Raw genomic sequence first — 15,830 nt, forward strand, 5'->3', positions numbered from 1 at the left:
CACACATCAATTTTGTTTCGTTGATAACCCCATCCATTTTTTTCTCATGTCCACTTGCTCTAATTTTCCATGTGGACTTCTCCGTCTATAGACCATTTGAGGATAACTCACCCTGCAGATCCTCAGGAATAAAGATGAAATATTCCAGTACTTTCAAGGAGGCTCAGAATCTGTGTTAATTTGGTCTGAAAAAAAATGTGCCTTGTGCATGTTGGAGTGGGCTAAACTCTGTTTACCCTAAAGCGCATGGTTAATAGAAGGAACTGAGTTCAAGGAGCTGAAAATGTAGACATTGCCATGAAATTTACTTATACACCTACAAAGTAAGAATGAACAGGGTGCTGTATGGTCTACAAGCCACAGTCATGTCTTTCATCAAACATGATTGAATGTCCCTTTTTGAGAAAACTGCTTTGCTCAGAACATCATATTTCTAGCCCCCAGAGAAAGCCTTTGTGGTACCAAACCGGACTGTCCTCCTTTCAGTGCTCTGCGCACCCCCTGCACTGTCCCCGGCATCCCTTGCCCCAGGGCCAGGCTCTTCTCCAGGAGTGAGGCTGGCATGCTAGGTTGTGCCACTGTTATTCACCCTGAAATGTATGATTAGTTAATATTCATGAGGCCTTCTACCCAGTGGAGTTTGTTGGGGCATATGGAAACCACAGTCTCTGTTCTCAGCAAGTTTGCACCAAAGCGTCTGAGTCTATTTACTCACAATTTGCCGATGTTTTGACATTTCCTTGCTGATTTGCCTCATGAATGAGTGCCTGGTGATACTTTCCTGATCGGAAGTAATACCCCAATGAGCCAAAGATTGGCTTCTCCTGTTGCCATGGGGCATCCTGTCTCATTTTCTCACAGAATAAATGTTGCACTTGAGGGAAAATAAAAAAAGGTGGCAGCCCTAAATGTCTCCGGTTTCTGTGTCTTATGCATAGTCTCTGTAGCTAAAAAAAGTAAGTAGATTTGTCACCCAGCTCTATAGCACTTACATGTGGATGATAGCATTTTTTTCACCTTAATCTTGTGAGATTAGGGATAAAGACATAATTCTTTTTTTTTTTAGTTTGAAATTAAAACATATTTTCTGTCACTACTATACAAAAAGTGTAAAAAATATAAAACCTAAAAACCAAAACTACTCTTCCTATTTCAGTCTCCAACCCTATTTACTTAATTTTTCTCTTTGGAACTGATTATGGCTTATTTGGTATGCACACTCCTAGATATTTCTCAGTGCTCTCATATGTACACTTATACATGTGTGTATGTTTCTAAGCATAGACATACACAGTGTAAAGAAACATATGAACACATCTATTCACATATATATGTGGTTCTTTTTGCACAAATATATTAAATATAAGATACCACTGATTGTACAATGTGACATTATTTTATGTACAGCATCAAGACTATTGCCTGGCCAATAAAAATTGTAAGACAATAGCAATTATAGAACTCATAATAATGTGAAAATGTGCAAAATAAACATCTTGAAATCGATGAAATATGGCAGCTTTTTTTTTTATTGTTGTTGGTTTCTTTTCTTTTTTTTTTTTTTGAGATAGGGTCTCTGTCTGTCATCCAGGCTGGAGTGCAGTGACATAATCACAGCTCACTGCAGCCTAGAACTCCTGGGCTCCAGTGATCCTCTAGTAGCTGGGACTACAGGTGTGTGCCACCATGCCATCTTTTGTTTTTGTTTAATGGAACAGCACAGATATATTTTCACTTCAGGGCAAATAGTTCCACCTGTTTTTAAACTACTGGCTATTATAGTCAGTTGTCTCATAATTTATTTAGCTATTCTCATATTGTTGAACATTTAGTTTGCTTCCAGATTTACTATTAAAGAAGCATTGAATGCACATATGTCAGTATAACCCTTTGCATACATATGTGAAAATTATAGAAAACATATTCTTAAAAGCATACCTAAGGGTTAAAGACCATAAGTGATATGGTTTGGCTGTGTCCCCACCTGAATCTCATCTTGAATTGCAGCTCCCACAATTCCCATGTGCTGTAGGAGGGACCCAGTGGGAGGTAATTGAATCATGGGGGTGGGTCTTTCTCATGCTGTTCTCACGATAGTGAATAAGTCTCACAAGATCTGAAGGTTATATAAAGAGAAGTTCCCTACACCACTTCTGTCTTTGCCTGCTGCCATCCACGTGATATGTGACTTGCTGCTCCTTGCCTTCTGCCATAATTGTGAGGCCTCCTCAGCCACACGGAAATGTGAGTCCATTAAAACCTCTTTATCTTCTCAGTCTTGGGTATGTCTTTATTAGCAGTGATAAAACGGACTAATACAATAAATTGGTATTGGTAGAGTGGGGCACTGTTGTAGATACCCGAAAATGTGGAAGCAACTTTGGAACTGGGTAGCAGGCAGGGGTTGGAACAGTTTGGAGGCCTCAGAAGAAGACAGGAAAATGTGGGAAATTTTGGAACTTCCTAGAGACTTGTTTGGCTTTGACTAAAATGCTGGTAATGATATGGACAATGAAATCCAGGCTGAGGTGGTCTCAGATGGAGATAAGGAACTTGTTGGGAACTAGAGTAAAGGTGATGCTTGCTATGTTTTAGAGACTGGTAGCATTTTGCCCCTGCCCTAGAGATTTGTGGAACTTTGAACTTGAGGGAGATAATTTAGGGTATTTGGCAGCAGAAATTCCTGAGCAGCAAAGCATTCAAGAGGTGACTTGGGTGCTGTTTAGAGCATTTAGTTTTAAAAGGGAAACAGTATAAAAGTTTGGAAAACTTGCAGCCTGACGATGTGGTAGAAAAGAAAAATCCCATTTTCCGAGGAGAAATTCAAGCTGGCTGCAGAAATTTGCATAAGTAATGAGGGGCCAAATGTTAATCAACAAGACAATGGGGAAAATGTCTCTAGGGCATGCCAGAGACCTTTAAGGCAGCCCCCTCCCATCACAGGTCCAGAGGCCTAGGAGGAAACATGGGTTTGTAGGCTGGGCTCAGGGCCCCCCTGCTGTGTGCAGCCTAGGGACTTGGTGCCCTGTGTCCCAGCTGCTCCAGCCATGGCTAAAAGGGGCCAAGGTACAGCTTGGGCTGTGGCTTCAGGGGGTGCAAGCCCCAAGCCATGGCAGCTTCACTGTGGTGTTGAGCCTGCCAGTGCACAGAAGTGAAGAATTGAGGTTTGGGAACCTCTGCCTTGATTTCAGAGGACGTATGGAAATGCCTGGATGTTCTGGAAGAAGTTTGCTACAGGGGCAGTATCCTCATGGAAAACCTCTATTAGGGCAGTATGGAAGGGAAATGTGGGGTAGGAGCCCCAACACAGGTCCCCACCGGGGTGCTGCCTAGTGGAGTTGTGAGAAGAGGGCCACCATCCATCCTCCAGACCCCAGAATGGTAGATCCACCAACAGCTTGCCCTGTCTGCCTGGAAAAGCTGCAGACAATGAACACCAATTTGTAAAAGCAGCCAGGAGGGAGGCTGAACTCTGCAAAGCCACAGGGGCAGAGCTGCCCAAAGCCATGGGAATCCACCTCTTGCATCAGTGTGACCTGGATGTGAAACAGGGAGTCAAAGGAGATCATTTTGGAGCTTTAAGATTTGACTGCCCTGCTGGATTTTGGACTTGCATGGAGCCTGTAACCCCTTTGTTTTGGCCAATGTTTCCCATTTGGAATGGCTGTATTTACCCAATGTCTGTACCCCCATTGTATCTAGGAAGTAACTAACTTGCTTTTGATTTTACAGGCTTATAGGCATAAGAGACTTGCCTTGTCTCAGATGAAACTTTGGACTGTGGACTTTTGAGTTAATGCTGATATTAGGTAAGAGTGTGGGGAGTGTTGGGAAGGCATGCTTGGTTTTGAAATATGAGGACATGAGATTTGTGAGGGGCCAGGGGTGGAATGATATGGTTTGGCTGTGTCCCCACCCAAATCTCATCTTGAATTGTAGTTCCCACAATTTCTATGTGTTGTGGAGGAGACCCAGTGGGAGGTAATCAAATCATGGGGATAGGTCTTTCCCATGCTGTTCTCATGACAGTGAATAAGCCTCACGAGATCTGATGGTTTTGTAAAGAGGAGTTCCACTGCACAAGTTCTCTCTCTTTGCCTGCCACCATCCACATAAGATGTGACTTGCTCCTCCTTGCCTTCCGCCATGATTGTGAGGCCTCCCCAACCACATGGAACTGTGAGTCTATTAAAAGCTCTTTATCTTCCCAGTCTTAGGAAAGTCTTTATCAGCAGTGTGAAAACGGACTAATACAATCAGCCAGTAAAATTTTGATAGGTGCTGAAAAATTAGGAGCCAATTTTTTGTTGTTGTTGTTTGTTTCAGACAGGGAGTTTTGCTCTTGTCACCCAGGCTGGAATGCAATGGCACCATCTCAGCTCACTGCAACTTCTACCTCCCAGGTTCAAGTGATTCCCCTGCCTCAGCCTCCTGAGTAGCTGGGATTACAGGTGCCTACCACCACACCTGGCTAAGTTTTGTATTTTTAGTAGAAACAGGGTTTCACCATGTTGGCCAGGCTGGTCTCAGACTCCTGACCTCGCGTAATCTGCCCGCCGTGGTCTCCCAAATTGCTGGGAGGATCCCATGTTTTTAATCCCCATATTCTGGATGAGAATACTGTGGTTTTGTGGACTCAACTGACTTGCTCTGGCTCCCATGGTTAATAAGAGGAAGAGCGAGTTGGCAACGCTTTCTCACTCTAGGGCAGTACTCTCAACCCCGCACTGTCTCCTCTTGGTTCTTTCTGCTATAGATTTATCTTTGATGAAACACAAAATGATCAGTGAGTTTAATAATCAGATATTTCAGTCTTTGGAGACAGCCATTTATTTTTTTTCAAGGCTTTGAGCCGGATGTTTATGGAAACAGCCCTGCACTTTGTGGGTATTTAATGACCTGTGATGGCAAAGACATCTAAATTATTTGTGCACACATCTGACCAATCAGATTCAGGGTTGATTGGTTTGGGTTTGGTTCAATAGAAGCTATTTCTACTGAGTTGGGAAAGGAAAGGAAGGCCTGGGGACTTCTTGGTTCTCTGGTATAGTGTGATTACCTGTAAGTTGTACTAAATTGGACTGTTCAGATTTGGTGGTCTGTTCTAATTTTGTAGACTTTGAATGAATCCTCCTCAGCTCTTCCTATTCTCTTCTTCACCAGTGAGGAACAATAACCAGTGCAGACCTGAATAATCACATGAAACCCAGCAAATTTTGCCATCACATACCTGATATTTTGAATGGAAATACGTAACAGTTTATTTAAAAAGTCATATAACGATTCTAATTGACAGACAGCACTATCCAAGTCTCCTTGAACAGTGCTTGCCTGATATTTTTGGGAATATAAATCCCTGGGTCTCTTATAAAAAGGTAGGTTTAAATTTAACTGGTCAGGGATGGGGCTGAGAGGCTGCATTTCCACCCCAGGTGATGCTGATGCTGTTGGCTCCCAGACACCACTTTGGGTAACAAGCTCCTACATCAGAGGTCAACGAACTACGGTCAGTGAGCCAAAACCTGCTTTCTGCCAATTTTATACATGAAAAGTTTTATTGGAACAATAGCCATGTCTATTTGCTTATGTATTGCCTGTGACTGCTTTCCACTGCAATGGCAGAGCCAAATAGTTGTAACAAATACCTTATGGCATGCAAAGCCTAAAATATGTACTATCTAGTCCTTTACAGAAAATGTTTGCTGCAGCTGCCCTAGATGACTCCTTTGATTTTGAATACTTGCTACTCAAGATAGACTTTCAACATTCATCCAACATTGAAAAAACATTTATCTGGCTGGATGCAGTGGCTCACTCCTGTAATCCCAGCACTTGAGGAGGCCAAGGTGGGTAGCTCATTTGAAGTCAGGAGTTAGAGACCAGCCTGACCAACATGGTGAAACCTCATCTCTACTAAAAATACAAACAAAAAATTAGCCTGGTATGGTGGCACATACCTGTAATCTCAGCTACTCCTGGAGGCTGAGGCAGGAGAATTGCTTTAACCCAGGAGGCAGAGGTTGCAGTGAGCCAAGATTGTGCCACTGCACTCCAGACTGGGTGACAGAGTGAGACTGTCACAAAAAATAAGAAAGAAAAACATTTATCTAACACTTACTTTGCACTGCACATTGTACTAAGAGAATACAGTTGTGAACAAGATATAATTTCTACTCTCATGGAGCTTATATTTGTTTGCTCCCTCAGTATCTGGGCAACTGCATTTTGTAAGTCTCCGTTTACTCATCCATAAAATGGGGCTTAAAAATACCTAACTCTTAGTGTATGTTAAAAGAAAAACTTAAGACAAATTTAACAGAGTTTAATTCAGCAAAGAATGATTCTTGAATCAGAATAGGTTCAAAGCAACTCTGGAGCAGCTGAGCATGGTTAGAGAAGATTTGTGGACAGAAAACAGAAGTGAGGTACAGAAACAGCCATATGGGTTACAGCTCAGTGGTTTGCCTTATTTGAACTTGCTTTGAATAGTTGGCTGCCTATGAGTGCTTGAAGTACGGCCACTGTGATTGGCTGAGACTGGACTACTTGTTCCAAGACTGGGTTGCTGTCTGTTTACACATCCAGTTAGGTTGCAGTTCACTATATACAGAGAAACCTTTGGGCTGTTCTTAAATGTAAGGAGGCAGCTTTGGGCTAAATTTAGCAGATTCTTGTGAGCAGAGTGCTAGGCACCCAGAAAATATTCAAGAAAAGTTAGATGTTAGTACATTATTCTTGTTATTTTCTTACTCTAAAGATTTCTGGACAACGAACAATTTTTTTTTTGACACTTGTTAGCTTTCTACGTGTTGTGTATGTGTATATTTCCTCCCTGGCTATTCAGAAAGAACTAGAGCTGAAAGTGACTTTTCCTTCAACGTTAAAGCTTTAATAATTTAATCAAAGCTTCTGACATTGAAACGTCTCTTTGATTCTGAAACCAAAGCGGAACAGTGTTCTTGGTTCCCAAAATGAGTCTTTCTGTGTTTCTCTAGTTGTTTAATCTGCAGTCAGGGAGGTGCTAATGGTGATCTGGCCCCTGGTGGGGAAGGGTGTAGAGGATGGGAGGGGTGGCTATTCTTTCAGCAAGAGGACAGCCTTTGATAGGATTAACGAACAACTCTCTATGGTAACCACAGACAGCCATTATGCTAAACAACTGAGGTAAAATTTTAATTGATTATTTACTCAATTTCAAAGAAAGACAAAGAAATAGAACATTCTGTTTGGATCACTGAAACTTGCATGTATTTTTATGTCATTTTGTGTCTATATCGATCTTTAATAGTTTATACAGTCGTCATAGTCCGGAATGACATATGCCTTAATTTTGATCCCTAAGAAGCAGATCTGGAAGCAAAGGTTCAGGTGTACCTAGTTTGTTTGAGAGGTGAAGTAACTAGCAGGGCAGTGGAAAAAACAACTGAGGTAAAATTTTAATTCATTATTTACTCAAAGACAGAAATAGAACATTCTGTTTGGATCACAGAAGCTTGCATGTATTTTTGTCATTTTGTGTCTATATTGATCTTTAATAGTTTATACAGTCTTCACAGTCAGGAATGACATATGCGTTAATTTTGATCACTAAGAAGCAGATCTTGAAGCAAAGGTTCAAGTGTACATAGTTTGAGAGGTGCAGTAACGAGCAGGGCAGTGGAAAAAACAAGATAGGGAAGGTAAGGTAGTGAAATTCACGTGTATTATCCTTAGATAGGTAACATCTAGTTACCCCTAGAGTATTCTTGGTTGTTCCTGCCGTGGGACTGGGGAATGGTGTGGACAACAAACCTCAGAATTATCCCGCTGAGGGTGTGGGAGTTTTTATATACCAACTCCTATCCCTCATTGGATGGTTAAAGATTCATGGTAGGGTGTGTGTTGGTTTGCTGGCGTTTCTGACTGAAGGGAAGCAGCTATTATCCATTAGAGGAAGCCAGAGGACACTGAATTGGTAAGGCAAGAGGTATACATACACAGGGCCCTGAGAATGTCTGGATTGTTTAGCTGTTTCTACTTCCAGTGCCTGACATTTGTACAACAAGGTGCTTATTAAGTGTTGTCATATTCTGGATGAATCTAAACATGCAAATCAATTACAGGGAGGGAGGGCTGCATGTGTGACAGGGTTGCAGTTTAAGTAAATTTAATCATCAGTGGAGAAATGAATGACAGAATGTTTCATTATATAGAGATTTTGAAGAGAAAGAATAAATTACTCTGATGCTCTAGGTAGAAGAGGAAGAAGCTGACACCCTAATGAAACAAATAAATTGAAGTTCTAATTCCTCACAGTTCCCCAAGTCAACTATGTATTTTTTCCTAAGTAAAATGTCATACTTGATGTTATATTTGACATTAGAGATGACAGCCAACAGATAATATAGGAGGACGTGGTGCAAAAGTGATCAGGGCTTGTGTATCAAAGACAGGAATTTTGAATATCTGTGTGTCAAGTGTTGAGTTCTCTGGGAAGTATTTGCTGAGATAGAGTTTATCATTCGAGGATTATCTAAGGAGTGCCCTTGGGATCAACACTTGTGGAAGGAAGGAAAATGTAGCAGGATTGAACAGATAGAGAAACTGAGCTGCAATATAGGCCTGACAACAGTTCTGGCCAACTCTACAAGGAGCTCAGAAACTAGAAAGGCAGTACTTAGCTGCCCCAAGTGGGGCTAAGGGGCTAAGATGGCCAGGCATTTTTATTTTATTTTATCTTATTTTTATTTTTTTAGACATGGCTTCATTCTGTCACCCAGGCTAGAGTGCAGTGGTGTGATCATGGCTCACTGCAGCTTCGACCTGCTGGGCTCGGGTGGTGACCCTCCCATCTCAGCTTCCTGAGTAGCTGGGACCATAGACATGCACCACCATGCCCAGCTAGTTTTTTGTATTTTTGCAGAGACAGTGTTTCACCATGTTGCCCAGGCTAGTCTCAAACTTCTGCAGTCAAGCCATTCACCCGCCTCAGCCTTCCGCAGTGCTGGGGCTACAGGCTTGAGCCACTGTGCCTCTGGTTTAAGACGGCCAGGTATTTAGTACACCTGGCCATTGGATATAGGTTTCCCCAGGAAGGTCAGGTGATATTCCTATAGCTGAGGCTATCTTGAAGGAGCTAACAGCTGAAGGCCACCTTCTGACAGCACTCCTAGCAGCTGAGGCTGGTGTGCCCTAGCAGCTCAGGCAATGAGTCCTTCACTGAAGAGGGATCCTGGCAGTGCATTAGTGTTCACGATACTGTATCTTCTCAGCTTTCCCACTCTCGCAATACTTTGCCTCTACCATAGGCTTCTAAGATTCTCTGCCCTGGACCACCAGGCATGCATGATTTAAATTTGGAAGTGATTCTCATACTTCAGTCATTTAGTTTCATGACTTTTCACTTTTCATTTCTTTTGGAATCTGCTCTACTCTCACCAATATTTGGTGCTGTAGGATTCTATTATGGATCTGTTGGAGGCTTGATTTATTATGCATCACAGTAGATCACCTGTGATGAACATGGGGCAGATAGAAACCTAAAATCTGCTACTCTTGCCATCCAAATCCTGATATTCAGATTTCTACAGTCTTAGTTACATCCTCTTGGACCATGATGAGTTGGCTGAGTGGGTGGTCTGTGTTTAGAAACCACATCTTCTGTAATACAGATCATAAAATCTCACCACCGTTTTCATTTTCCTGGAGATTGAACTAGCTTGAAGGCTGTGTGAATGAGTAGCTTGAATTCTATGAAATCGAGTATACAGCATACAGGAATGGCTATCATGTATATGTGTGTGTGTGTGTGTGTGTGTGTGTGTGTGTTGGGGGTAGGACACTTAGCCTAGGAGAAGAAGTACAAGGGTCCCAAGAAGAGCTGGAGCTAAAACTTGAGCAGTACCAAGTGGAACAGAGGCTGAGATACATCAACATGGACCAAACTTGAAGAAGGGAAATGTTTACAGAGTCTTGCTCCACCACATGGAACCACGGAGAGTTTTATATTCAATAAGGCTTTATCTAGCCCAAGGTCACAAAGATTTACTCTTATATCTTCTCTAAAAGTCTTACGGTTTTAGCTCCTATATTTAAGTCTATGACCACTCTGAGTTAAGTATTGTGTATGGCATGAGAAGCTGATCCAACTTCACTCTTTTGTGTGTGTATGTCCAGTTCTCCCAGCACCATTTGTTGAAAAGATAACTCTTCTCTGTCAATGAACTGTATCAGCATTTTTGTCAAAAATTAATGAACTGTAAATGTAAGGATTTATTTCTAGACTTTCAATTCTATTCCATCTATATGTTTCTCCTATGTCAGTACTATACTATTTTATTACTGTGGCCTTGTACTAAATTTTGAAATTGAGAATCACGAGTCTTCAACTTTGTTCTTCTTTTTTAAGAATGTCTTTTCTATTAGGGTTCCTTAAATTTTTATGAATTTTAAAGTCAGCTTGTTAATTCCACAGAAAAAGACAGCTGAGATTTTTATAGGGATTATGTGGAATTATAGATCATTTTGGAGAATATTGCCATCTTAACCATGTTGTTTCCTGATTCATGACCATGAATTTATGTTGTTTTCTTTAATTTCTTTCAACAATGTTTTATAGTTTCAGAGCATATGTTTTTCCCTGCTTGTTAAATTTATTGCTAAGTATTTTATTCATTTGGATGCTATTTTAAAATAAGTTGATTTTTTAATTTCATTTTTGATTGTTCATTGCTAGTTCTCTTAGTTTAGTATAACAAACTAAGACCAGGTGGTTTAAATAAGTCACTTATTTCTCACAGTTCTGGAGGCTGGGAAGTCAGATCAGGGTGCCAACATGGTAGGGTTCTAGTGAGGACCCATTTTCTGGCTTGCAGACAGCTGCCTTCTTGCTGTAGCCTCACATGACAGAGAAAGAAAGTGAGCACATGCTCTCTGGTCTCTTTTTATAAGGGCACTAATCCTATCATGAGGATCCCACCCTCATGGCCTCATCTAAAAATAACTACCTCTCAAAATTCTCACCTCCAAACACATTGGAGGTTAGTGTGTTCACATATGAATTTTGAGAGGACACAAACACTTAGTCCATAACACTAGTGTATAGGAATACAATTGGTTTTTGTATATTCATCTTGTACACTGCAACCTTGATGAGTTGTTCTTTTTTGTCTAATCATTTTTTAGTGGAATACTTAGGATTGTCTATACACAAAATCATGCTAATCTGGAAATAGAAATAGTTTTACTTACTCCTTTACAACCTGGACGTCTTTTTATTTCATCCTTTTGCCTAATTAGCCTGGCTAGAACCTCCAATACAATGTTGAATAGAAGTAGTGAAAATGGATTTCTTTGTCTTGTTCCTGATCTTGAGGGACACATTCAACTTCCATCATTAAGTACAATGTTAGCCGTGAGTTTTTCATAGATATACTTTGTCGGGTTGAGGAAGTGTCCTTTCATTCCTAGATTGTTGCGTATTTTTATTATGAAAGGGGATTGGAGTCATGCTTTTTGTGTATTTATGGAGATAATTATGTTTTTTGTTTTTTTACTGTATTGCTATATTACATTGATTTTTGAATGCTAACTCAGTTTTTGCACATTTGGGATAAATCCCACTTGATCATGGTCAATCATTATTTAAAGCAATTTTGGCTAGATTCAGTTAGCTAATTGTTTGTTAAGGATTTTTGTCTCTATAGGCATAAGAATGTTGGCCTATAATTTTCTTTTCCTTTGGGTATTATTCTCAGTACCTGCGTGACTGCATCAATCATACCCCAAACTTCAGCATCACATAACATACCCCAGGTAACAAACCTGAACCTGGACCCCTGGAATCTAAAGTAAAGATTGAAATTATTTTTACAAAAGAATTTTCTTTTCTTGTGTAGTCTCTGTCTGGATTTAGTATCAGGGTAGAATTTGCCTCATAGAATGAGTTGCACACTGCTCCATTCTTTTTATTCTTTGGAATTTTATGGAGAATTGTTATTAATTCTTCTTTAACTATTTAGGAACATTCACCAGTGAAGCCATCTTGGCTTGGGCTTCTTTTCATGTGAAGGTTTAAAATTAGTAACTCAATCTCTTTGTTATAGGTCTATTTAAAATTTTCATTTCTTTTTGAGTGAGTCAGTTCCACCAGTTTGTGACTTTCCAGGAATTTGTCCATTTCATCTGTCATGCAATTTATTGGAGGAAAATTTTTTATAGCTCTTCTTTGCAATCCTTCTTATTTCTGTAAGATGCATAGAGATACTCCTCTTTCATTCCTGACTTTCATAATTTGTCTTCTCTGTTTCTCTTTTTTTTTTTGGTCAGTTCCCAGGATTTAGGTTAGAAAAAGTATGATCTTTGGCACTAAGCTGATCTAGGTCAAAGTTATATCTCTTCTACTGTGTAATTGCCTTCTCAAACCTTAGTTTTTAATTTGGAAAATGAAGATAATTCAATTGGCCCATTACTTAAAAAAATTCTGAAGACATTTTATTCTGATCATTTTTTCATTCCTTCTTTTAAAAAAGCACACATAATTGTTATAAAGTCATCTTTAAACCATACATTTATTTAAAAGTTAAAATTACCTTTTACTGCAACTCAGTATCAAATATCATTTGTGAGTATGATTAAATTCTTAGAAGATAGCTATGTTAAACACCTGAGTATGGAACGTTATTTTCTTCTATAGAGATAAGGTTTGTGTTACAGAGTCGGAAATTGGAAGCCAGAGTTTTAGTTCTAGGCCTTCATTCAAGATGCTCGCTGAAAATAGGGGTCGATAAGTAATTATGTTCAGAAATTGCTATGCCCTATACTGTTGGCCCTCCATATCCCTGGGTTCTGCATTGGCAGGGTCAACCAACCACATATTGAAAATATTCAAAAATTAAAAAATACTAAATAATATAAATAAATGCTGTATAGTTATACTGATAACTACTCACATAGCATTTACATTGTGTTAGGTATTATAAGTAATCTAGAGATGATTTAAAGTATATGGGAGGATGTGCATATGTTATATGCAAATACTGCCCCATTTTATATACAGGACCTGAGCTTCTGTGGATTTTGGTATCCTTAGGTGGGGGAGAGGGTCCTGAAACCCATGCATCAGGGACGACTGTATTCCATTTTTTGGAAACGGATAGCATACATTAGCATAGTAAGAGCTCTCAGGTTAAGGAAGCTAAAAAATACAATTCCCATATTCCTTTGCCACTATGATATCCTTTTCCCCCAACATATTCATTTTTCAGACAAATATGTGTAGAGCACCTGCAATGTGCCAGGAACTGTTCATGGCTGTGGAATGCAGCAGTGAAAGAAACAAAATCTCTTCCCTTGAATAGCTCACATTCCACCTTTTTGTGAAGTTTAAATATCATATAATAAAGTTATCGGCATGTAGTAAATGCCCCATGAATGGCAACTACTCAGTTTCTTTGTTTCTCCTGTGCTGTTTGATGCCAATGCAGGCACTCCTGAGAAAGGCTTGGATGGCCTGTGATACTTCTTGCAGCCTTGTCTTTCTCGCATCTCATCATAATAAATTCTGCTCAAATATGAACATTGCAGCAGCAATATCCCTTTATGTCTAACTTCTAATTATCTATAAACACATGCCTTTATGAAATGGAGGTCATCGTTTGATATATGATATCAGACGTTTAGCTAGTCAAAGCCTTACTTGACTACCAGCTTACTGCATTTGAAACTCAGGTAGCCCAGAGCTGTGGTGGAATCACTTACAGACATGTTAATTTGCATGTTTTTTTCCCCAAGTATTTTTCTTTTCCTTTCCCTCACTCAAGCAGGCAGCAAGGATTGCTCTCTTGCCTCAGGGCAGATTAGCAGCAAACTAGAAAGCAGAGGGGACAGTTCCCTTTTGGGTTTTGGATTTAGTAGACGATGTTGGACTTCCGGCAGAGACAGGAGAGAAGGGGATGGGGGGACAAAAGAACAAGAGTAGAAAGCAGGAAAAAAAAATATTTTGAAGGATAAAGGGACTTTTGGAGCTTGAAGAGAGACAGGGGTGTGTGTGTGTGCCCTAAGCAGCAGAGATTCCCTCTGTCCTCCACGGAAGAGCCCTGGAGAGATGTCCAGACCTCCAAGGGGAAGGAATGTGTGGATTCCCTGGAGACAGTAGAGGTTCCAGCATTTCAAGGGTCGCAGGTCCTAAGCATGGCCCTGAAGCAGCATTGCCACCAGAAATGGGGGTCTATGTAGACTGGAGGCACTGTGGGCTCTTGGTGGTAACCAGGGCAAGATTAAAGTCAATGACCAGAGAGGCTTCTCTGAGGATGTAATGCTCACAGCCTCCAGCGTGTTGGTTATCTCAAAGAATCCCAAATAACCAATGCTACTACCAGTCAGCCAGAAGGTGTGGACTCTGAGATGGAACCAATTTGGCTTTAAAGAAGATAAAGAAATATAGGTTTTTATTTTATTTATTTTTTGTACATCTAAGTTCATGAACTGAGAGTCATATTTGCTGCCTTAGCCACAGGACAGGAACTAGTTAAAACTCTGGATATCTGGCTCTGTCCACTTAGCCTACATTCTTCTTGTGAGAGTCCACAGCTTAGAAGTGTGGGAAATTTTCTGCCTATTTGATTCTGTGTTCCAGCACTTTACTGAATCACTTGGCTTTGATAAATGCAGATTGATCCAAAATGAGAGAGGGACAGAGAAACTCAGCACAGACCATGATTCACATATTACCCTAAACAAAGCCGTGGCTAAGTGATTTTCCTGGAACTCATAGGAGAGTGGCAAGGCAATGAGGGTCACTGTAACCCATGGCCAGGGGACAGTCAGAACTCAAGAGCATTTCAAATCTACCCTGTGATTTATAAATCTATCTCCCCCACAGGCTGGGGCTTTTTGAGACCAGGCACTATCTTTTATTGGGTCCCTCCCTGCCTTGTTGCTTGTACAGTGACTGACATAGAGCAGGCACTTAACACAGTCTCCAACTTACAATAGTGCGACTGAACAATTTTGCGTTTATGATGATGTAAAAGCTATATGAATTCAGTAGAAACTGTACTTCGAGTATCCATACAACCATTCTGTTTTTTTACTTTCAATACAGTATTTAATAAATTACATGAGCTATTCAGCATCTTATTATAAAATAGGTTTTGTGCTAGATGATTTTGCCCAACTGTAGGCTAATTGTAAGTGTTCTGAGTGTGTCTAAGGTGGGCTAGGCTAACCTGTCATGTTTGGTAGGTTAGGTGTATTAAATGCGTTTTTGACTTATGGTGTTTCCAATTTACAATGGATTTATTGGGATGTAGCCCCATCATAAGTTGAGAACCATCTGTATATGTTAATTAGTTAATTAATAAAACAACTCTTTATTGAAAGTCTATGTTTCTGAAATTGTCCCTGGTACTAAAAAAAATATTTTTTCATTTGATCCTCTAAACAACCCTGTGAGATGAGATGTTCAAGGTCTCAAGGTTAATAAGTGGCAAGATTCCAGTCCTTGGTCTGACTTGAAACCCACTATTTCTTTACTCTAACTGAGTCTCTTTGGTAAAATGGTGGTGGTTGTCATAAGTTAGTCATTTTGGTTTTAATTAGCAGTATTAGGGAATCAATAAAGAAGCAATTCCATTTTCTCCTTACTCATCCTTTCAGTTATTCATCCATTCAGTGAAAAAAGATATATTGAGTTATATATGCCATGCATTTATTCCTCTAAATTACTTTGCAAATCAGTAGGAAATTTATAGAACTCAATAAAGTAAGAGAAAGACTATTTAGGTTTCTAAAATGTCTGTCTCATGGGCTGCTTACAAGGGTGCTTGGGCTGGTGAAAAGGCTTTTGGTTT

At 40.1% G+C, this 15,830-nt stretch overlaps 3 annotated features.

Moving 5' to 3' along the window:
- Positions 1,832-2,333: an enhancer, noted in NCBI's record as "NANOG hESC enhancer chr3:62935781-62936282 (GRCh37/hg19 assembly coordinates)". NCBI's record gives its function as "activates a minimal SCP1, AML or CMV promoter by ChIP-STARR-seq in naive H9 embryonic stem cells {active_cell/tissue: H9 hESC(naive)}" and the evidence as "EXISTENCE:reporter gene assay evidence [ECO:0000049][PMID:30033119]".
- Positions 2,585-3,207: an enhancer, noted in NCBI's record as "OCT4-NANOG-H3K27ac-H3K4me1 hESC enhancer chr3:62936534-62937156 (GRCh37/hg19 assembly coordinates)". NCBI's record gives its function as "activates a minimal SCP1, AML or CMV promoter by ChIP-STARR-seq in primed H9 embryonic stem cells {active_cell/tissue: H9 hESC(primed)}" and the evidence as "EXISTENCE:reporter gene assay evidence [ECO:0000049][PMID:30033119]".
- Positions 6,775-7,282: an enhancer, noted in NCBI's record as "NANOG hESC enhancer chr3:62940724-62941231 (GRCh37/hg19 assembly coordinates)". NCBI's record gives its function as "activates a minimal SCP1, AML or CMV promoter by ChIP-STARR-seq in primed H9 embryonic stem cells {active_cell/tissue: H9 hESC(primed)}" and the evidence as "EXISTENCE:reporter gene assay evidence [ECO:0000049][PMID:30033119]".

The sequence above is a fragment of the Homo sapiens genome, chromosome 3, assembly GCF_000001405.40.
Source record: "Homo sapiens chromosome 3, GRCh38.p14 Primary Assembly".
In the NCBI taxonomy this organism is placed as follows: domain Eukaryota; kingdom Metazoa; phylum Chordata; class Mammalia; order Primates; family Hominidae; genus Homo; species Homo sapiens.